Source organism: Homo sapiens, chromosome 10, assembly GCF_000001405.40.
Source record: "Homo sapiens chromosome 10, GRCh38.p14 Primary Assembly".
In the NCBI taxonomy this organism is placed as follows: Eukaryota; Metazoa; Chordata; class Mammalia; order Primates; family Hominidae; genus Homo; species Homo sapiens.
The window spans coordinates 15,036,339-15,059,865 of record NC_000010.11 but is presented as its reverse complement, the minus strand read 5'-3'; the positions used below and the strand labels follow the sequence as shown (position 1 = coordinate 15,059,865).

General features: G+C 43.4%; 1 protein-coding gene and 1 long non-coding RNA gene across 6 annotated transcripts in view, besides 2 other annotated features; one reads left to right on the top strand and one right to left on the bottom strand.

Moving 5' to 3' along the window:
* ACBD7-DCLRE1CP1 (ACBD7-DCLRE1CP1 readthrough) overlaps window positions 1–23,527 on the top strand; it is a 73,705-nt gene that overhangs the window by 28,911 nt on the left and 21,267 nt on the right. The gene's annotated exons all lie outside the window — the stretch shown is intronic.
* OLAH (oleoyl-ACP hydrolase) overlaps window positions 1–23,527 on the bottom strand; it is a 41,659-nt gene that overhangs the window by 13,988 nt on the left and 4,144 nt on the right. The window contains exons 1-4 of one of the 5 annotated variants that reach the window (NM_018324.3): window positions 15,880–15,923; window positions 12,546–12,740; window positions 10,101–10,231; window positions 2,884–3,042 (exon numbers count right to left, since the gene is read on the bottom strand). In NM_018324.3, the coding sequence (NP_060794.1) occupies window positions 2,884–3,042; window positions 10,101–10,231; window positions 12,546–12,577 (322 nt within the window). In that variant the 5' untranslated portion in view covers window positions 12,578–12,740; window positions 15,880–15,923. Of the gene's footprint in view, window positions 1–2,883; window positions 3,043–10,100; window positions 10,232–12,545; window positions 12,741–12,941; window positions 12,999–15,879; window positions 15,924–23,527 lie in introns of those variants that run through there. The other 4 variants (XM_017016376.3, XM_047425423.1, NM_001039702.3 and 1 more) reach the window with 4 other exon arrangements.
* Window positions 12,012–12,820: an enhancer, noted in NCBI's record as "H3K27ac hESC enhancer chr10:15089045-15089853 (GRCh37/hg19 assembly coordinates)". NCBI's record gives its function as "activates a minimal SCP1, AML or CMV promoter by ChIP-STARR-seq in primed H9 embryonic stem cells {active_cell/tissue: H9 hESC(primed)}" and the evidence as "EXISTENCE:reporter gene assay evidence [ECO:0000049][PMID:30033119]".
* Window positions 14,092–14,281: an enhancer, noted in NCBI's record as "active region_3089". NCBI's record gives its function as "activates an Ori minimal core promoter by ATAC-STARR-seq in GM12878 lymphoblastoid cells {active_cell/tissue: GM12878}" and the evidence as "EXISTENCE:reporter gene assay evidence [ECO:0000049][PMID:35858748]".

The window sequence follows — 23,527 nt, the reverse complement described above, 5'->3', positions numbered from 1 at the left end:
AGAGAGACATAGATACAAAGGTAATGGCAAAACATTTCTTATTTATTTATTTATTTTTTTGAGAAGGAGTCTTGCACTCTTTCTCAGGCTGGATTGTAGTGGTGCCATCTTGGCTCACTACAACCTCTGCCTTCCAGATTCAAGTGATTCTCCTGCCTCACCCTCCCAAGTAGCTGGGAATACAGGCACATGCCACCACACCCGGGTAATTTTTGTATTTTTAGTAGAGACGGGGTTTCACCATGTTGGCCAGGCTGGTCTCAAACTCCTGACCTCAAGTGATCTGCCCACCCTGGCCTCCCAAAGTGCTAAGATTACAGACATGAACCACTGTGCCCAGGCCATGACAGCACATTTCTTATTAGAAATTGTTCAAGCCTGCCAGGTGCGGTGGCTCATGCCTGTAATCCCAGCACTTTGGGAGGCCGAGGCTGAAGGTGCTTGAGCCCAGGAGTTTGAGACAGCCTGGGCAATGAAGTGAGACCTTATCTCTATAAAAAAAATTAAAAATATCAGCTGAGTGTGGTGGTGCACATCTGTAGTCCCAGCTACTTGGGAGGCTGAGGCAGGAGGATTGCTTGAGCCTGGGAGGTTGAGGCTACAGTGAGCCGTGATTGTGCCACTGCACTGAAGCTGGGAGACAGGATGAGATGGACGGATGGATGGACAGATGGAGGGGAGGGAAGGGGAGGGGAGGAAAGGGAAGGGGAGAGGGAGGGAAGGGGAGAGGGAGGGAAGGGGGGAGGGAGGGAGGGAAGGAGAGAGGGAGGGAGGGAGGGAAGGAAGGGAAGGAGAGAGGGAAGGAAGGGAAGGGATGGAAGGAGAGAGGGAAGGAAGGGAAGGAGGGAAGGAGAGAGGGAAGGAGAGAGGGAAGGAGAGAGGGAAGGAGAGAGGGAGGGAGGGAAGGAGGGAGGGAAGGGAAGGAGAGAGGGAAGGAGGGAAGGAAGGGGAGAAATAGGGCAAGCCAGAGAACAATACTAGGGGGTAGGAAGGGAGGGAACAACTGTCACCCTGGCATTCCATATCCTGTGACAATATCTTTCAAAAGTGGAAGTTAAAGACTTTTTAGACACATAAAACCCACGAGAATTCAATGCCAGCAGACTTGCACTAAAATAAATATTAAAGGAACTTCTTCAGGCAGAATAAAAATAATGTCAGATGAAAATCTGGATCTACTTTAACAAAGGTAATCATGTAAATATATATAAAAGATTATTTTTTATCATTTTGTTTTTCCCCCCCACAAACTCAGAAGTTCTTACTAAACATTTTTTTTCACTTTAAAATCACTAAAAAAGACAGCTGACTGCTCTACACAAAATTGATAAGTAGAAAAGTGTTTTACAAAAGTAGCACAAAGGTCAAGAGAGAGGAATGGAATAACACTCTTATAAGATTCTTTCATTAAAAATGAACTGGTATAATAAAATTTGAAAGTAGACTGTGATCATTTAAAGATGTGTTTTGGAAGGCTAAGTGCAGTGGCTCATGCCTATAATTCCAGCACTTTGGGAGGCCAAGGTGGGAGGATTGCTTTGGCTCAGGAGTCCAAGACCAGCCTAGGCAACATAGGGAGACCCCATGTGCACGAAAAACTTAAAAAAAAAAATTAACCAAGCATGGTGGCACATTCCTATAGTCCCAGCTACTCAAGAAGCTGAAGCAGGCCAGAAACAAAAAATGACAAAATATTGCTAAATCAAAACAATACTTTTTAAACTGGAGAAACAGATCTCACTCATGGATCAATATTGTTATGATGTCAATTTTCCCAAAATGGATCTATAACTTCACGGCAACCCCAAACAAAATCTCAGGAAATTGATAAGCTGATTTTAAAAGCTGTATGGAAATGCAAAGGACTTAAAATATCCAAAACAACATTCAGAAAGAAGAACAAAGTTGGAGAACTTATGCTACTGGATATCTAAGGCTTATTATAAGGCCACAGTAATCAAGATAGTATACTTTTGGAGTAAACATAGACGTATAGATCGGTGGAGTAAGAGAATCCAGAAATAGACCTACACATGGACTCGCAGATACTCATTTTTTTCCATGAAGGCATCAAGGAAACATCCCAATTACCCTGAGACTTCCCTGCTGCTAGAATGAAGATGCTGTGTTTCTGGTATCATATGAGGCAAGTACACCAATGGGACAGAATAGAGAACCCGGCCCAGGCACGGTGGCTCATGCCCATAATTCCAGCACTTTGGGAGGCCGAGGCAGGTGGATCACCTGAAGTCAGGAGTTTGAGTCCAGCCTGACTAACATGGCAAAACCACATTTCTACTAAAAATATGAAAATTAACCAGGCATAGTGGCTCATGCCTGTTATCACAGCTACTCGGAAGGCTGTGGCAAGAGAATCGCTTGAACCCAGGAGGCAGAAGCTGCAGTGAGCTGAGATTGTGCCATTGCACTCCAGAGCGAGACTCCATCTCAAAAAAAAAAAAAAAAAAAAGCCCAGAAATAGACCCACATACATGTGAAAACTCAATTTACAATTCAACTGACACTTAAAACCAGTGGGGGAATGTATAGACCTCTCAGTAAGCGTTGCTAAGCCAACTGGCTATTCATGTGGTATAAGTAAACTTGGATATCTAGCTCACACTATATACAAAAGGCAGGCTCAAATATGACAAAATACTTTAGAATTGATAGAAGAAAAATAGGCAAATAACTGTGACTTGGGGTTAGGGTATAGGGTTAGGTTAGGCTTGCTTTTAAAGCAAGCCATAAAAAGCATAAAGTTTAAAAGAAGAGTAATAAGCTTGATTATATTAAAATTTAAAGCTTCTGTGAGTCAGAAGACACCACATTAAAAAGAAAGGTGGCACAAACTAGAAGACATTTTCAACACAAAAAACCTACTAAAAAAAATTAGAATCCAGAATAGACCAAGAATTTTGGCCAGGCACGGTGGCTCACGCCTACGGTGGCTCACGCCAGCACATGGGTAGGCTGAAGCAGGAGGATCACTTGAGCGCCGGAGTTTGAGACCAGCCTTGGCAACATGGTGAGATGCTGTCTCTACAAAAAAATAAAATAAAATAAAATTAGCCGAGCATAGTGGTGTATGCCTGTAGTCCCAGCTACTCAGGAGGCTGAGGTGGGAGGATCACTTGAGGCTGAAAAGTTAAGGCTGCAATGAGCCAAGATCATGCTATTGTACTCCAGCCTGGGCAACAGAGCAAGATCCTGTTAAAAGAAAAGAAAGAAAAAGGAAGGAAGGAAAGGAAGGAAGGAAAGAAAGAAAGGAAAGAATTTCTACATGTCAGTGAGAAAAAGACAAGCAATCAAAATGTGAAAAAAATGTCTAATCTTACTTGTAATAAGGGTTAATCAATGTAAAGTTAGAATAATTTCATGCACAGAGCAAAAAATTACAACGGTATTGTCAACAATATAGAGCAATAAGAATTTTCCTATACTGCTTGGTAGTATAAATTATTATAATTCCTTTGGAGAACAATTTGACAATATTTCTTGTAGTTGAAGATGTTCATACTCTACCACCCAGAAATTCCATTCCTAGATGTAGACTCTCTCGTACATGTATATAAGAAGACATGTATAAGATGCTCATAGAAGCCCTGTTTATACTAATAGCAAAGAATAAAAATGACCTTAATGCCTGAGAACAGAATAGATACATAAATTGTGTTATAGTCACACAATGGAATACTAAAAACTAGATTGTGGGAAAAGCAAGTTTCAGAGAAATGTCTGTAATCCCAGCACTTTGGGAAGCTGAGGCAGGTGGATCACCTAAGGTCAGGAGTTTGAGACCAGCCTAGCCAACATGGTGAAATCCTGTCTCTACTAAAAATACAAAAATTAGCTGGGCATAGTGGTACATGCCTATAATCCCAGATACTTGGGAAGCTGAGGCAGGAGAATCGCTTGAACCCAGGAGGTGGAGATTTCAGTGAGCAGAGATTGTGCCACTGCACTCCAGCCTGAGGGACAGAGTGAGACTCTGTCTCCAAAAAAAAAAAAAAAGTATATAAAGTTAGAAATATGAGAGATTATACTATATCTTGCTTAAGTCAGTGTTTGAGGAGGCCATAAATGGAGAGGGAGACTTCAATTATATTGGTACTGTTTTATTCTTTAAGGGGAGCAGTGGACACGGTTAAGTTTATGGTATACATTTTTATAGATCTACTATTTGAAAACTTGTTTAAAGTAGTGGCCTTTAATTGTATGTATTGAACCATCAGCTATTGATTAAAACCCTCATATAAAAGTATTTCTGATAATTTCTAAAAAGACCTTTAGGAATTACAGGGCTCTCTTCTTCCAATGAATGGATTATTTTCTTTGAGACTTGATATCAGAGTGTTGGCTACCAGCATGTAGAAAGGACGAGACTTGGAAAGTTTGAGGAATACACAGGTATAGTGTTGGGAATCCTGATAGCTAAAAATAAAGAAGGATGGGGCTGGAGATAGAAAAGAGTCCTACAGAAACATGAAAATATCAAAGAACCAGAATTACAGAACCCCCACCCACACAAACGAGGTGGTTTTTAAAACTGCACTTCACTAGTCAGCAACCAACCTTAGCTCCAGTGGAATGACGTATTCTTGCTCGTCAGGAAAATCTAACACACTTTGTCGTAAACAAAGATAAATGTATCATACAGAATATAGAAAGTATAAATCAAAGTTTTTCAGGCAATGAGAACACTTTCCCCATCTCTACTAAAAAATATAAAAATTAGCCGGGCGTGGTGGCATGTGCCTGTAATCCCACCTACTTGGGAGGCTGAGACATGAGAATCACTTGAACCCTGGAGGCAGAGGTTGCAGTGAGCCAAGATCACACCACTGCACTCTAGCCTGGGTGACAGAGTGAGACTCTGTCTCAATAATAAACAAAACAAAACAAAAAACACCTCACAAAGCAGAAAAAAACAGCACAACACTCCAACTTGGATGAAATTAAACCAGAAATAGTGGAAACGAAAGAACACTATAACTCAGAAATGTAAAATTCTTCATAGAAATAGACCAAAAAAATTGCACAAAGAGCTGACAGAATAGTGGACAGAAATGGATTAAAAAGACAAAAATTATTTCAAAAATGACTAAAAGTTGCCCACAACACAGTGGATGCAAAGTGCTGTATTGAATTAGATATGGAGTACAAGCAAAAGAGCTAGGAAACAAAAGCGGGACAGAGAAAACATTACAAAACAAAGTAGTAGTCATGGAAGGGAAAACATTACAAAACAAAGTAGTAGTCATAGAAGGCAGAAAAGGTTCCAGCATAGGGACACATGGAGAGCCTCAAGAAAACTAAACAAAATAAAACACTGGAAAATAATCAATATTTAATTCATGCAAACTCCTGTTAGCAGCAGCGAATCGTAATGGCTCTGTGACAACCTCAATTCTTGCAGAAGGAAGTAGAGTAGAAGGAAGAATTTGACCAAGGGGCATAAGGCAGACTGAGAGACTGAGGCAAGTTTCAGAGCAGGAGTGAAAGTTTATTAAAAATCTTAAAAAGGCCAGGCGGGGTGGCTCATGCCTGTAATCCCAGAACTTTGGGAGGCCAAGGCGGGTGGATCACTTGAGATCAGGAGTTTGAGTCCAGCCTGGCCAACATGGTGAAATCCTGTCTCTACTAAAAATACAAAAATCAACTGGGCATGGTGGCAGGCTCCTGTAAAATCCCAGTTACCCAGGAAGTTGAGGCAGGAGAATTGCTTGAACCTGGGAGACAGAGGTTGCAGTGAGCTGAGATTGCGCCACTGAACTTCAGCCTGGGTGACAGAGCGAGACTCCATCTCAAAAAAAAAAAAAAAAATGCTTAAGAGGATTGAGCACTGTGGCTCACGCCTATAATCCCAGCACTTTGGGAGGTTGAGGCGGGTGAATCCTTGACTGAGTACAATACCAGCCTAGACAACATGGCAAAAGCCCATCTCTACAAAAACAACAACAACAAAAATATGAAAAAAGAAATTAGCCAAGCGTGGTAGCTTATGCTTGTGTTCCCAGCTAGTTGGAAGGCTGGGGTGGGAGGATCGCTTGAGCCTGGGAGGTTGAGGCTGCAGTGAGCTGTGATTGCACCACCACACTCCAGCCTGGGCAACAGAGCAAGACCCTGTGTCAAGGGAAAAAAAAAAAGCTTAGAACAGAAACAAAAAAGGAAGTGAAGTGTGAAGTACACTTGGAAGAGGGCTAAGTGGATGACTTGAGAGATCAAGTGCCCTGTTTGACCTTTGACTTGGGGTTTTATACATTGGCATGCTTCGGGGGGTTGCATCCCTTCTACCTTGATTCTTCCCTTGGGGTGGGCTCTCTGCATGCACAGTGGCCTGCCAGAACTTGGGAGGGGCTGCATGCCCAGTGTGTTTACTGGAGTTGTATGCATGCTCACTGAAAGTGTTTTTCCCTTACTAGTTTTTCTGGAAGAAGGACCAGTTAAACACCACCATTTTGCCTCTTAGTGCGCATGTGTGAATCCACTTGACCAGTTTCTGAAATCCTATCAGGAAGCTGCTGATTGCCAACTTTCAGTGTGTTGTAGCTATTGGGGGACTGCCTTTCCCTGGAACCGGCGGTGACTAATTATTATTTTAGATAGATGGTTTAACAACTGCCTGACCATCACCTGATAGTCACTTGACATTCCTGGCTGGGGGTGGAGGGGCCTCTCCTGCCTTGTTTATGTCTAACTACCTACTGTAACATTCCCTGAAATAAAATAAGAAAGAAAATGACATATTAAAAGAGCCTATCATATGCTTGAGAAACTTGACCCATAGTAGTTGCATTAAAATGTTAGAATTTGAGGATTTGTGGCCAGACACAGTGGCTCACACCTGTAATCCCAGCACTTTAGGAGGCCGAGGCAGGTGGATCACTTGAGGTCAGGAGTTCGAGACCAGCCTGGCCAACATGGTGAACCCCCGTCTCTACTAAAATACAAAATTAGCCAGCCATGGTGGTGCATGCCTGTATTCCCAACTACTCAGGAGGCTGAGGCAGGAGGATCACTTGAACCCGGGAGGCAGAGGCTGCAGTGAGCCGAGATCACGCCACTGCACTCCGGCCTGGGGCCTGGGGCCTGGGTGACAGAGTGAGACTCTGTCACCAAAAAAAAAAAAAAAAGAAAAGCCCTCCAAACAAATTACCAAGTCATTTATAAAAGAAGCAAATCAGGATGATATCAGACTCTTTGATAACAAAATCTGAAGCAAGACAACAAACAGTAAAACAAGTTGTTAAAGAAACTCAAAGAAGTATACACATCAGTAATTTATCTCCTGGCCAGATACTGTAGTTTACACCTGTAATCCCAGCACTTTGGGAGGCCAAGGTGGAGGGATTGCTTCAGGCTAGGAGTTTGAGACCAGCCTGGGCAACAAAGCAAGACTCTGTCTCTACAAAAAAAATTTTCTTAAAAAGAAAGTATTGCCAGTATCAAAGCAGTCTTAGAGATGGAGGAACTTAGCATATATTGGAATCATGAGTCTGCCTGAAGAATCTACTAAAACAGCAAACAACTATAACCCATGGGTCAAAGCCAGCAGCCACATTGTTTTTATTTATTTTTTTTAGGCAGAGTCTCACTCTGTGGCCCAGGCTGGAGTGCAGTGGCATGATCTCGGCTCGCAGCAATCTCCGCCTCCCAGGTTCAAGCGGTTCTTCTGCCTCAGCCTCCCGAGTAGCTGGGATTATAGGCGTGCACTACTACGCTCAGTTAATTTTCTGTATTTTTAGTAGAGACAGGGTTCACCATGTTGGTCAAGCTAGTCTTGAACTCCTGACCTCAAATAATCTGCCCACCTCAGCCTCCCAAAGTGCCAGGATTACAGGCGTGAGCCACCATGCCCAGCCTGCAGCCACATATTCTGGTACATAAAGTTTTACTGGGACACAGCCATGCTCATTTTGTATGCATTGTCTGTGCTTGCTTTTGTGAGACAATGGCAAAGCTGAAGAGTTGCAACAAGCACTGTATATCCCACAAATGTGCAAATATTTACTATTGGGCCGTTTACAGAAAAAGCTCACCATCCTTGTACTAGAAGACAAACTTCATCCAAAGAATACATGATTAGGGAAAGTTTGGCAAAACGACTGGCGGTGAGTTTTGAAGACTTTATTGTGGTTCTAAGACTAAAAAAAAAAAATTAGGGATGATGTTATATGCTCTGATAGAGTAAAAATAATACAACCGTTTTTTTAGAGGAGAAGGAAGAAAAAAATACAGTAAGTTCATTGATTTCATACAGATAATAGGTGTGTCTCTAAGGATACTGTCAGAAGAGGGAAAATCTGAAAGAAAAATCTTCAAAAATTGCCCAAGATGTCGACAGGTTGGACAGATGTGTAATAAAAACAAGCTTCTGAATTAAAGCTGAACACTCACCTGCAAGGCTTGCAGCCATTAGATCAGATGGCTAATCCCTCTCAGATGAAGCACAGAGACGGGATTAAATCAGTCATGGCTCTCCAGACCTTAAGATGCCTACATACTTGTTAACTTTTTATGCTATATACTTTAACCAATCAGAATTGTTAAGAATTCTGATTGTTAACAATGTGAATTTAGTAAAGACTATGAAACCTCGTCTCTACTAAAAATACGAAAATTAGCTGGGCCTGGTGGCGTGTGCCTGTAATCCCAGATACTTGGGAGGCTGAGGCAGGAGAATCGCTTGAACCTGGGAGGCAGAGGTTGCAGTGAGCCAAGATCATGCCACCGCACTCCAGCCTGGGAGACAGAGCAAGACTCCATCTCAAAAAAAAAAAAAAATAATAATAATAATAATAAACAGTCTTGAAATCAGCCAGATTTACAATTGCACATAACATTAAATAAAAAAGTGCATATTGTAAATCTGACAGCATCCACAAAAACAAGAAAACAAAAAACTATGGCTAATAAGGCAATAGAGACATACAGAATAGTTAATACTTTTATTTTTGACTTTAAATATTATTATTATAGAGGCCGGCTGCAGTGGCTCACATCTGTAATCCTAGCACTTTGGGGCCAGGCGCGGTGGCTCACGCCTGTAATCCGAGCACTTTGGGAGGCCGAGGCGGGCGGATCACAAGGTCAGGAGATTGAGACCATCCTGGCTAACACAGTGAAACCCTGTCTCTACTAAAAATACAAAAAAATTAGCTGGGCGCTGTGGCAGGCGCCTGTAGTTCCAGCTACTTGGGAGGCTGAGGCAGGAGAATGGTGTGAACCCGGAAGCGGAGCTTGGAGTGAGCCAACATCAAGCTACTGCACTCCAGCCTGGGCGACAGAGCCAGACTCCGTCTCAAAAAAAAAAAAAAAAAAAATCCTAGCACTTTGGGAGGCCAAGGTGGGTGGATCACCTGAGGTCAGGAGTTTGAGACCAGCCTGGCCAACATGGTGAAACACTGTCTCTACTAAAAATGCAAAAATTAGCTGGGCATGGTGGCACATGCCTGTAAGTGCAGCTACTTCGGAGGCTGAGGCACAAGCGTCACCTGAACCCGGGAGGTGGAGATTGCAGTGAGCCGAGATTGCACCACTGCACTCCAGCCTGGGTGACAGAGCAAGACTCTGACTCAAAAACAATAAATAAATAAATAATTATTATTATAGAGATGGGGTCTCACTGTGTTGCCCAGACTGGTCTTGAACTCCTGGCCTCAAGCAATCCTCCTGCCTCAGCCTCCCAAAGTGCTGGTATTACAAGCGTGCGCCACTGCGCCTGGATTTATAGCAGTCTTTTAGACTCTGTATTAATTCGAAAGAAAAGCAGAAAAGGGAAAATAGAACACATCATGGGACAAATTGGAAACAATTGCAAGATGGTAGATTCAGTTCAACCATATCAATAATTATACCAAAGACAAATGCAGTATTAGAACGTCATCTCCTAAAAGGTCCTTCTAGCTCTAACGATAAAAACAAAGTAAAGAGAAAGTTACTTTAGAAACATAAAAGTCACCCTATTGAAGCATAATCTTGAAAGTTTATTATCAATTACCTACCAGGAAGGAAAGTCTTGACCAAACTTCAAATTCTAATACATTTATGTCATCTGCCCTTTTAAATTGCTTAAATGATGTTAAAAATTAACATACCTTCCAGCAAATCATGAGTATCTTGGCCCCATTTGGCAAAATGAGTGGAGCCACCTCCCATCCAGGGAAAGCAAATCAGCTTAAAAGTTGCCTCAGGGTTTTTGTATAAGCAGTTGAAAATGTTTTCATTCCTAGGGAGAAAATTCAAATATATTTAACATTATGTATATCAATTAAGTTCCCTATACTGAATTACCTGTGTTTTAATGGAAATCTTTATTAATTATAAGAAACATATGTTCATATATAAAGTGATTGCAAATTTTTCCAATAAGAAAGGGCAAAAAAGATTTTTACAGTCTGTGTTGACAATTTGAATACATAGATTTTTAGGACTAGGCATGGTAGCTCATGCCTGTAATCCTAGCAATTTGGGAGGCCAAGGAGGAGGATCACTTGCAACCAGGAGTTTGAAGCTAGTCTGGACAACATAGTGAGACCTCATGTCAACAAAAAATTTAAAAGTTAGGTTGGCATAGTGGTACACACCTATGATCCTAGCTACTTGGGAGGCAGAGGCAGGAGGATCTCTGGAGCCTAAGAGTTTGAGGGTGCAGAGAGCTATGACTGCACCACTGAATTCCAGTCTCAGTGACAGAGTGACATCTTGCCTCTAATTTTTTTTTTTTTGGAGACATAGTCTCCAAAAAAAAAAAAAAAAAAAAGACATAGTCTCACTTTGTTGCCCAGGCTGGAATGTAGCGGCGTAATGTCGGCTCACAGCAACCTCCACCTTCCAGGTTCAAGTGATTCTCCTGCGTCAGCCTCCCATGTAGTTGAGATTACAGGCAAGTGCCACCATGTCAAGCTAATTTTTTTATGTTTTAGTAGAGACGGGGTTTCTCCATGTTGGTCAGGCTGGTCTCAACCTCCCAACCTCAGGTGATCCGCCCGCCTCGGCCTCCCAAAGTGCTGGGATTACAAAAATAAGCCACACCCAGCCCTTGTCTCTAATTTTTAAATTAAATAAACTTTCAGGGATGTAGGTGAAATAGTCAAATACCTATATATAACATTCAGTAAGTGCATTTTATATGCACACTTAAAGTGACATAAATGTTAATTCAGAAATTGCCTTTTTCACAATTTGGAGAATAATTTTATCCAAACCGTTCATGGGCAGCTTCAATCTTGGTATCTTCATGATCTCCAGAGCCACTTTTCAAGTTATATGTAAGTTTTATAGAGCATATAATTTTGACTTCCTTCTGAATGTTTGATAAACAGTGCTTTTTAAATTTACTTATAGACTGGGCTCAGTGGCTCATGCCTGTAAGCCCAGCACTTTGGGAAGCCAAGGGAGGCAGATCACTAGAGGTGAGGAGTTCGAGACCAGCCTGGCCAACATGGCGAAGCCCTGTCTCTACTAATAATACAAAAATTAGCTGGGTGTGGTGGTGGGCACCTGTAATCCCAGCTACTCGGGAGGCTGAGGCAGGAGGATTACTTGAACCCAGGAGGGGGGGGTTGCAGTGAGCCGAGATCGCACCACCGCTCTCCAGCCTGGGTGACAGAGTGAGACTCTGTCTCAAAACAAGCAAACAAACAAATCTACTTATAATGTCACCGGAATTTTATCCCAAGATCCAAGTACCCAATCAGGTGATATTAGGAAAAGTTCTTTTTGAAAAAGTCATCCTATCTGTACACATTTGTGACCACAATTTAAACAATTTCTATAAAGTTTCCAAATTGATCCTTAAATTCCTTACAAAGATATATAATATTCCCAAATATGAGGTTCTAAACCCTAGTATAATGATGCAATCTGTTATACCCCTCTCGTTTTTTCAGTTGATCTCTACAAACATCCAAAACTAACACCAACTGATATCTTTTCAGGTTAACTTGTGTTCTGTAAAGGGTACTTTGTTCTTCATAACAAAATAATTCAGAACACTCATAAAATGAGAGATTTTCTATGAACCTAGGCACAAACGAAAACTTTTTTTGGGGGGGTGGATAATTTCTGGAGAAAAACTCACTGCTTTTTACTTGGGCACTTATGTTAATAATTACTAGTTTAAAGATAAAGGCAAAAAAGACTAATTTTTATTTTTTTTGAGATGGATTCTTGCTGTCAACCAGGCTGGAGTGCAGTGGCGCGATCTCGTCTCACTGCAACCTGCACCTCCCAGGTTTCAGCAATTCTCCTGCCTCACCCTCCCGAGTGGCTGGGATTACCACCACCCTGAGGGTGCACCACCATACCCGGTGAATTTTTGGTATTTTTAGTAGAGACAGGGTTTTGCCATGTCGGCCAGGCTGGTCTTGAACTCCTGACCTCAGGTAATTCACCTGCCTCAGGCTCCCAAAGTGCTGGGATTACAAGTGTGAGCACCTGGCTGAGAAACCTCTTTCAAACTAAAAAGGGAGCCGTACAAAGGCAGGGTATCGGAGCCCCTGGGATGGAGGAAGAGCCTGGTGGCACAAGGGGTGGCCTGCCTGGTTCTCTTAGGTTGGTCTCCTCTCTCCATGCTGTGAGGTGAGGTTGCAAGATGGCTGGTCTCTGTGGCGTGTTGAGTGCTCAACAGAAGTCAGTTCCTCTTGAGACGAAGAACCTCTGCTCGGCCTTATGCACACAGAAGAGTGAGTAGATTTCTTTTTAAAGGCGCTGACTCTTATTGACCTCTCCAATCCCTGTTAAAAATAAAGAAGGTCAGAGGAAAAGGAAGGAGAAGACAGAGAAGAGAAAAAAATGACAGTGGTGATGACAAAGGAGAAGAAGAAATGGGTTAGAACCAACACAACTGATGTTATTCAGATAAGGAGTCACCACCCCCATCCCACCCCATTCATATCCAATTAGCAGTAAGTGCTTCCATTAACAGGACTGCTCACGTATATACAGACAGACAAAGATGCAACATTTCCAGACTCTAGCCATGAAACAAGCCTGCTCCTAAAAGAACAGAAAACATTCCATACATACTAGAAAATTAGGGTAAGGGTGAGGGATGTTTGTTTTGGCAACAGAGATGTCTTAGCTTTCTAAGTGTTTGTAAAGTTGTGCTCTTTTAAATCTCAAGAAAGTGGCTGGGCGTGGCGGCTCATCCCAGTACTTGAGGTCAGGAGTTCAAGACCAGCCTGGCCAACACGGTGAAACCCCCATCTCTACTAAAAATATAAAAATTAGCCGGATATGTGGCCCATGGCTGTAATCCCAGCTAGTTGGGAGGCTGAGGCAGGAGAATCGCTTGAACCCGGGAGATGAAGTCTGCAGTGAGCTGAGATCGCGCCACTGCACTCCAGCCTGGGTGACAGAGTGAGACTCCATCTCAAAAAGTAAAATAAAATAAATCTCAAGAAAGAGGGATTCTAAAAAAAGGCTTCACTGCTGTGCCAAACTTCCCATTTTGCAATCTTCAAGTATTCAGAAAAGAGAAGAAAAATAACTACTGAAAGAACTGTCATTTATTTATTTATTTATTTATTTATTTATATTTTTTTGAGACGGAGTCTCACTCTGTTGCCCAGGCTGGAGTGCAGTGGCTCAAGTTCAAATGATTGTCCTGCCTCAGCCTCCCAAGTAGCTGGGATTATAGGTGCCCACCACTGCGCCCAGATAACTTTTGTATTTTTAGTAAAGACAGGGTTTCGCCATGTTGCCCAGGCTGGTCTCAAACTCCTGACCTCAAGTGATCCACCCACGTCAGCCTCCCAAAGTGCTGGGATTATAGGCGTGAGCCACCACACCCGGCCAGATCTGACATTTATTTATTTATTCATTTCTTTGAGACTGAATCTCGCTCTATCGCCCAGGCTGGAGTGTGGTGGCACGACCTTGGCTCACTGCAACCTCTACCTCCCAGGTTCAGGCAATTCCTGTGCCTTAGCCTCCCAAGTAGCTGGAATTACAGGCACCCGCCACCAGGCTTGGCTAATTTTTGTATTTTTAGTAGAGACGGGGGTTTCACCATGTTGGCCAGGCTGGTCTTGAACTCCTGACCTCAAGTACAGATCTGTCATTTATAAAGGTCTTTATCTTCTGACTTCCTAGGAGCTCCTTGGATCCCAAGTATTCATTTTAAGGCCACGGTTAACTTGTCAAGCTCAGTTGTGACTTTCAACACAGTTCCAGGGAGCTCAGGTGAATCCCTCAGCTTAAAGCTTTTGTCATGCAGTGGAGGGCATTTTTAGGAACAGAAAGATGTGCCTAAATAGAGGAAGAAAGTTTACAGAGGGTGGGGAGCCCATCTGTTTGTTTCTTAGAGCCTTTTCTTAGTAATTCTGGGCCAGAGCCACCATCAACTCTCAGAAAAAAATCACCTGAATGACTCATGAGGATTTCTCTGACTTTACCTGGAAATAGTTCCTTCTTAGGTAATGATATGAAAGGCAGAAAAAGAGAGCAAGTTCTTCCAAGAAAAATAGGCAGTCAGAGCTGGGATACAAATTTTTTTGGTGTTGACAATTAAAAGTTGTTATGGAGCATTACAAAGTTTTCATAAAATTAGGTTGAATTACTCCAACTCCTTCTAATTGAAGTACATAAAAACCTTGTTTTGTATTATTTTTTGACTTAGCACGGTCTGTGATCAATCATACCTGGGAAGATTAAACATTTAACCACTGTCCAAGTTTACTCAAGAAATATTTTCCAAGTTGAGTAAAATGTCCTGGGTTTTGTTTTCAACACTGGAGGCATCCTCCGGTAAGAATAACAGTGACTCTCTCCTCAAGATGCTTTCATTTGATTGAAACCTCTAGATGCTTTCATTTGATTGAAGTACCAGACGAGAGAAGAGGGAGAGTGGGACAGAGACAATACTCCAGAGATAATGGCTTAGATTTTTGTGGAACTGATGCATAGTACTAGTCCAAAGATAAAACATGCCCAGCAAATGTCCAGCAGAATAGATTACAAAAAAAGCAATCTTTATAGAGATGCATTACAATGAAACTGCAAAACCAAGAAACACAGAAGAAAACTATTAAAAGGAGCCAGGAGGTGAGGAGAGGTGGGGATGGACTCACAGCAATGCAAAAACATGGAAGAGAATAGAATGATATCTTCAAGTACTAAGAGACAAGAACTGCCAAATTAGAATTCTATACCCAGTAAAAACAGCTTTTAGGAAACAGGGCAACATAAAGACATTTTCAGACAAGTAAAAACTAAGTTTGTCACCAGGAGACAATTTTTAAAGAAACGTTAAAGGATATACTTTGAGCAGAAAGTAAATGATCCCAGATGGAAGATAGGAGATGCAAGGAGGAATGAAAAAGACAGTAGTGAGCCGAGATTGCACCATTGTACTCCAGCCTGGGTGACAGGGAAAAACTCTATCTCAAAATTTAAAAAAAAAGAAAGAAAAAAATATATATATATAAAATTAAAATACAAGGCAAAAATAATGTCAAAGCCAGGCACAGGCAAACAAAGTTCCTTACATTATCTGTGAGGTTTTACTAAATTTAGACTGTATAAATATGCATGCCTTAATTTCTCAGGCTAGCCCTTAGAAGAATAGAAACAGACTGTAAATCATCCAAACTGGAAGAGAAAAATGTTTATTTAATCAAAAAGAGAACTGAGAAAAGGCAAGGGAAAGAAACATAGAACAGGTAAAACAAATAAAAATTGAATACAAGATGACAGATTAAGCCCCAGATACCAGTGATTATATTATATATAAACAGACTAAATTCTCTAGTTACAAAGCAATATTCGCAGATTAGATTAAAAGATAATCCAACTATAGGCTGTGCATATGAGACATATCTGAGAAGGTATTACTCTATGATTTTTAGATAATTTAAAATATAAGATACTCACTTGCCAGGCTTTGAGATGAACTCTGAGCAGACAATCTGAAAGATGACTTTCTTTGGATTGCCAAAGAAAGAGAGGACACAGGAAATGAGGTAATCTCAGAACATTATGAAAGAACAATGAAAACAACAAAGCAGGAAGAATGACATGGGCTGTGGCCCAGAGGAGACACAATGTACCATCTATTAGGAAAATAAAAGAAGTTAACTAAACTGGAAGGCAAGGCTGGTGCAGTGGCTCACACCAGTAATCCCAGCACTTTGGGAGGCTAAAGTGGGCGGATCACCTGAGGTCTAGAGTTTGAGATGGGCCTGGCCAACATGGTGAAACTCCACCTCTACTAAAAAATACAAAAAATTAGCTGGGCATGGTGGTAGGCACCTGCTACTGAGGAGGCTGAGGCAGGAGAATCACTTGAACCCAGGAGGCAGAGGTTGCAGTGAGCCTGAGATCACGCCACTGCACTCCAGGGCAACAAAAGCAAAACTCTGTCTGAAAAAAAAAAAAAAAAAGAAGAAGAGAATCCACTGGAAGGTGGAAAAAGGTGAATTGACTTTCAGAATTACTGACTAGACAGTAAAATCAAGTTAAGAGGCTGTTTTAGACATCTAGATGATAAAGAGTGATACCTGGCCTTATAATATTAGCAAACACATAACACTAAGGACCAAGCACCCTTCTAAGCTTTCAATACCTATTAAGACTTTTCGTGTTTTCAATCATGTAGGCATTATTCACAAGAATAATTAAGGTATTATGTCCCCTATTTTGAAGATTAAAAAAAGCTAAGGCACAGAGAGGTTAAGTAACTGACTAAAAGACACGTGGATGGCTGGACGCGGTGGCTCACACCTGTAATCCCAGCACTTTGGGAGGCCAAGGCGGGTGGATCACAAGGTCAGGAGACTGAGACCACCCTGGCTAACATGGTGAAACCCCATCTCTACTAAAAATACAAAAAATTAGCTGGGTGTGGTGGCGGGCGCCTGTAGTCCCAGCTACTCGGGAGGCTGAGCCAGGAGAATGGTGTGAACCCGGGAGGCGGAGCTTGCAGTGAGCGGAGATCACGCCACTGCACTCCAGCCTGGGCGACAGAGCGAGACTCCTCCATCTCAAAAAAAAAAAAAAAAAAAAAAAAAAGACACGTGGGTAGGAAACAGACCAGAGGGCAAATCCAAGTAGTCTGGTTCCAGAAACTATGCTTTTCACCCCTAATGCATTCTGCCTTTGTGCTAATGTGGAGGAGCTAAGGATGAAAAGAAGGCTTGGGTTCTTCAGCCACTTTGACCATGAAACCAGTAGGAATTGATAATTTCTTAGATATGGAGACTGTGGGAGAGGGAGGAAGCAAGTATGATGTCCAACTATTTTATAGCACAACAGAGTGACTGTAGTCAATAATAACTTAATTGTACATTCTAAAATGACTAGAAGAGTATAATTGGATTGTCTGTAACACAAAGGATAAATGTTTGAGAGGGTGGATACCCCATTCTCCGTGACATTACATTGCATGCCTGTATTAAAACATCTCATGGGCTGGGCACGCTGGCTCACACCTATAATCCTAGCACTTCAGGAGGCCAAGACAGGTGGATTGCCTGAGGTCAGGAGTTCCAGACCAGCCTGGCTAACATAGTGAAACCCTGTCTCTACTAAAAATACAAAAAATTAGCTGGGCGTGATGGCGGGTGCCTGTAATCCCAGCTACTTGGGAGGCTGAGGCAGGAGAATCGCTTGAACCGGGGAGGTGAAGGTTGCAGTGAGCCGAGATCACGTCATTGCACTCCAGCCTGGGCAAAAAGAGCAAAACTCTGTCTCAAAAGAAAAAAGAAAAATACCATGTGTATTTGTTGTATTTGTGCCTGGTACCATTCAGGGGTTGGGAGTTGTGCATACTCTCCTCAAACTCAATTACCGATGCACTGAAAGTCAGTGGTTTGCAGGTGAAGAGTGTAGGATAGAGTCCTGAGAATCACTAGCATTTAAACACCAAGCAGAAAAAGAGAAGCTGACAGAAAAGTTAGATGGAGATGCCAGGGAAATAGGAGGACAAAGACGTAACTGGGCCTCTCAGGAAGAGCCCAGAGGATGCCAACGGGTCAAAGGTGTGGGCCAGTTGCGGTAGCTCACACCTGGAATCCCAGCACTTTGGTAGGCCGAGGTGGGTTGGACCACCTGAGGTCAGGAGTTTGAGATCAGCCTGGCCAACATGGTGAAACCCCGTCTCTACTAAAAATACAGAAATCAGCCAGATGTCATGGTGCACGCCTGTAATCCCAGCTACACAGGAGGCTGAGGCAAGAGAATCACTTGAACCAAGGAGGTGGAGTTTGCAGTGAGCCGAGATCAAGCCACTGCACTCCAGCCTGGGCAACAGAGTGAAACTCCGTCCCAAAAGAAAAAAAAAATGGCTGGGTATGGTGGCTCACGCCTGTAATCCTAGCACTTTGGGAGGCCGAGGCAGGCGGATCACCTGAGGTCAGGAGTTTGAGACCAGCCTGACCAACATGGAGAAACCCCGTCTCTACTAAAAATATGAAATTAGGCAGGCGTGGAGGCACATGCCTGTAATCCCAGTTACTCAGGAGGCTGAGGCAGGAGAATCGCTTGGACCTGGGAGGCAGAGGTTGCAGTGAGCCAAGATCGCACCATTGCACTCCAGCCTGGGCCACAAGAGCGAAAACTCTGTCTCAAAAAAAATAAAAATAAAAATAAAAATAAAAAAAGGTGTGGAATGCCTCTAAGAGATCAAAGAAGACAAGAACTGAAAGTATCCTATCGTGCTGGTGATAATGGGATAATTCTAATCCAGGAAAGAGAAGCTTCGGGTACTTCTCTTTGCCTGTGGGAAAAGCACAGTAGCCTGGGAGCCCCTCTGGGGTTTGCTGCTGAAATTGGGCTGCACCCACTCTAGTCAATAGGGCATTTGGACTGAGCACCAACATTGTTCACTGTCTTCAAGAGAGAAGCCTTAGGAGCCTCATGGGAGTAGAGTGAGATGGCCAGGTAAACTGATCAGATGAGTAATCTGATGGTTGAGGTAGGGAGACAGTGCTTAAGAGGGAGGCAGGATTGAGGAAAATTAAAAAGAGAGAAAGGGATGGTTTGAGACCATCCCTTTGAGATGGAGCAAAGTCCTAGAGTAGAAAGAGGATTCTTGTAATCATCACTGATTTTCTGTACTGCTAGACAGTAAGCTCTTTGAGTATGGAGGCTTTGGTGGTTTTGTTCACAGTTGCATCCTCCTTGCTTCCTACCATGCAAGAATGAACAAGGAATTCCTATCATGTGGAATGAACAATAAATGAATGAATAGGAGTAGAAAACGGGGTAGCGGTTATTGCTAAAAAGGCATGATGAAACTTGTTCATCTAGGACGGGGGAAAGGGAAGTGGGGAAGGGAAGGAAGGAAGGGGTGATGCTGCAGAGATATTTTGAGGCTGAAGCAGAGGAGGTTAGAGTTTAGACAGATGGCCTCTTTTCCCAGGAATGTAGGAGAGATCATTGGACAATTATGGGATGACTGGTGATTAGGATAAAGTTGGAATGGTCAATAGTGGGAGCAACTGGAAAGGCTAAATCCACAGTTGCCAATAGCTGTGACTGAAATCTGTATCTTTCACCACTGGTGTCAGCCAGCTTTCTTGATCTTCTGTGGCAATGAGGATAGGCTCAGAAACAAAGATGGTGAACAGATGGGTTGACCCAAGCATGAGACTGGCAGGTTGGAAGGACAGAAACCAAAGGGGAAAGAGAATTGAGGGTGCCCCATAAAGAGAAAGGGTGTAATGGGATTATGACTGGGGAGTGACAAAGGGACAGCAGGAGAGGGCTCCACTTTCTGGGGAAAAAGAGGCCCCAGGACTGGAAGTTGTCATGGGGACAAAGAGTAAGTCCATAGGAGAGAAGGAATGGGGCATGGGGAAAGTGTGTGATGGCTGCAATGGAAAGGTGAAATTTCAAAGTCTGAGACTTAGGAGGTGAGACCACTCTAAAAGACCACCCAAGCACAGGCTTTTGTGGGAACTGTGAGGTTCAGGGGTTCAGAAGCAAAGTGAGCTAAAGATGGCAGAAAGGGTACCTACCTTGGCACAGGGGACCTTTTTGATTCCTCATAAGATGAGGATCAGTTTTGCTTAACAAATCATCGTAAGTGATGCCCTTCTTAGGGGATACAGACTTCTCCCTGTGGGGCCTTGTCTTCCAAACTGACGACTGCACAGTCTTGCTGTTGGCCACCTCCTGAAATGTTGCCTTCTTCTGGGGGACTCTTAGCTAAAATACAGACAGGCCTCTTTCCAGCAGCAGCTGTCCGTATGCTTACAATGAGTAAAGATACAATCATGGAGAAAGGGTGCTAGTTCAGCATCTCAAAAGTCGCCTACAAATGCAATCTTCTCTTTTTTTTTGAGGCAAAGTTTTCCTCTTATTGTCCAGGCTGGAGTGCAGTGGCACAATCTCGGCTCACTGCAACCTCCGCCTCCCAGGTTGAAGTGATTCTCCTGCCTCAGCCTCCCAAGTAGCTGGAATTACAGGCATGCATCACCACACTCAGCTAATTTTGTATTTTTAGTAGAGATGGGGTTTCAGGGTGTTGGCCAGGCTGGTCTCGAACTCCTGACCTCAGGTGATCTACCTGCCTTGGCCTCCCAAAGTGCTGGGATTACAGGCATGAGCCATGGCACCCAGCCACACATGCAGTCTTCTAGGGAGATTTTTAAACTAGCTTTTCTTTGAGTTGCAATTCCCTTTTTTTTTAGAGAGACATAGTCTTCCTCTGTCACTCAGACTGGCGTGCAGGGGTGCTATCATAGCTCACTGCAGCTTCAACTTCCCAGGCTCAAGCAATCTTCCCACCTCAGCCTCCCGAGTAACTAGGACTAGAGGTGCACACCACCACACCTGCCTAATTCTAAAAATTTCTTTTTGGAGATGGGGGTCTCTCTATGTTGCCCAGGCTGGTCTCGAATTCCTGACTTCAAGCAGTTCTCCTGCTTTAGCTTCCCAAAGCGCTGGTATTACAAGCGTGAACCACTGCACCCAGCCTGAGGTGCAATTCCCAGTCAAGATGCTGAATATATTTGCAAGAATTCAGGGCAGTACTGGTACTAACAGCCCAAATGACTGATCCATGCTCTTGGAACCTATATTTCATCAATTCTCCCACATGCCCTCCCAGTGAGTTTTAACACGTCCCTGCTGTTTCCCCTGCAATGTCTCTGCGTTAGTCCGTTTTCATGCTGCTAATAAAAACATACCCGAGACTGGGTAATTTATACTGGAAAAGGGTTTCACAGACTTACAGTGCCACATAGCTGGGGAGGCCTCACAATCATGGTGGAAGGCAAGGAGAAGCAAGTCACATCTTACACGGATGGCAGCAGGCAAAGAGAGAGTTTGCACAGGGGAACTCCCGTTTTTAAAACTGTCAGATCTCATGAGACTCATTCACTAACACAAAAATAGCACAGGAAAGACCCATCCCCCTGATTCAACCACCTCTCACTGGGTTTCTCGCATAACACGTGGGAATTGTGGGAGTTACAATTCGAGATGAAATTTCGGTGGGGATACAGTATTATTCCACCCTGGACCCCTCCCAAATCTTATGTCCTCACATTTCAAAACCAATCATGCCTTCCTAACAGTCCCCCAAAGTCTTAACTCATTTCAGCATTAACTCAGAAGTCCACAGTCCAACATCTTATCTGAGACAAGGTGAGTCCCTTCCGCCTATCAGCCTGTAAAATCAAAAGCAAGTTAGTTACTTCCTAGATACAATGGGGTACAGGCATTGGGTAAATACAGCAGTTCCAAATGGGAGAAATTGGCCAAAACAAAGGGGCTACAGGCCCCATGCCAGTCCAAAATCCAACAGGGCGGTCAAATCTTAAAACTCCAAAGTGATCTCCTTTGATTCCATGTCTTGCATCTGGGTCACACTAATGCAAGAAGTGGGTTCCCAGGGTGTTGGGCAGCCTCCAACCCCAAGCCCAAGATTCGCAAGCACCTGCAGTCTGCCCTGAGGGCTGGAGCAGGGTTTTTCCTGGTTCATCCAGGCAGCGTTCCTGGCCTGTGGCTCTTTGTGTTGGCAGTATAGAGAACACTTGGCTATTCTTATTCCTGGCTGAAGTCGCTGCCAGTTACATAAAGAACAGAGCTTACATTGATAAGGCTGTAAAAGTTTAATGCCTCCCATCCCCATACGTAGAGAATTCAGGCAAGTTCTACCAGCAATATGAGATTTCCTATACTATTCCTTCATCTCAGACACTCTGCTGCCTGTGGATAGCTCACAAGAAATGGGTCGTGTTTCATCTAGGAAGCCATCTAGCTATCGGTTAGGCCTCTGATGTGATGTGCCCAGCCTCCACAGTTACAACTAGTGACTTACACTTTTTTTTTTGATACGGAGTCTCGCTCTGTCACCCAGCCTGGCGTGCAGTGGTGCAATCTTGGCTCACCGCAACCTCCGCCTTCCAGGTTCAAGAGATTCTCCTGCCTTAGCCTGCTGAGTAGCTGGGATTACAGGCGCTCGCCACCATGCCTGGCTAATTTTTGTATTTTTAGTAGAGACGGGGTTTCACCATGTTGGCCAGGCTGGTCTCAAACTCCTGACCTCAGGTGATCCGCCTGCCTTAGCCTCCCAAAGAGCCAGGATTATAGGCGTGAGCCACTGCAGCCGGCTTCTATGATAATAATTCTTTAAAGTTAAAAATAAAAGTATTAAAAACTGTTCTGTATGTCTCTATTGCCTTATTAGCCATAGCTCTTTGTTTTCTTGTTTTAGTGGTTACTGTCGGATTTACAATACGCACCTTTTTTTTTTTAATGTTATGTGCAATTGTAGTTTTGCTCCAGCCGATTTCAAGACTGTTTGTTTGTTTGTTTGTTGATTTATTTATTTTGAGACACAGTCTCGCTCTGTCTCCCAGGCTGGAGTGCTGTGGCACGATCTTGGCTCACTGCAACCTCTGCCTCCCAGGTTCAAGCGATTCTCCTGCCTCAGCCTCCGGAGTATCTGGGATTACAGACATGCACCACCATGCTTGGCTAATTTTCGTATTTTTAGTAGAGACGAGGTTTCACCATGTTGGTCAGGCTGCTCTCAAACTCTTGACCTCGTGATCTGCCTGCCTCAGCCTCCCAGAATATTGTGATTACAGGTGTGAGCCACTGCGTCTGGCCTACAATTCTTGCTTTAAAAAATTCTGAGAGGCTGTAATCCTAGAACTTTGGGAGGCTGAGGAGGGAGGATTGCTTGATCCCAGGAGTTCGAGACCAGCCTGGGCAACATAGCAAGGCCCCCCAATCCCTACAAAAATTTTTAAAAATTAGGCACAGTGGTATGCACCTGTAGTCCCAGCTACTCAGGAGGCCAAGGAGGGGAGGATGTCTTGAGCCCAGGAGTTTGAGGCTGCAGTGAGCTGTGGTTGTGGCACTGCACTCCAGCATGGGCAAGAGTGAGATCCCATCTCTCTTTTTTGGGGGGATAGAGTCTCGCTTTTGTTGCCCAGGTTGGAGTGCAATGGCGCAATCTCAGCTCACTGCAACCTCCACCTCCCAGGTTCGGCGATTCTCCTGCCTCAGCTTCCCAAATCGCTGGGATTACAGGCACTCACCACCAGGCCCAGCTAATTTCTGTATT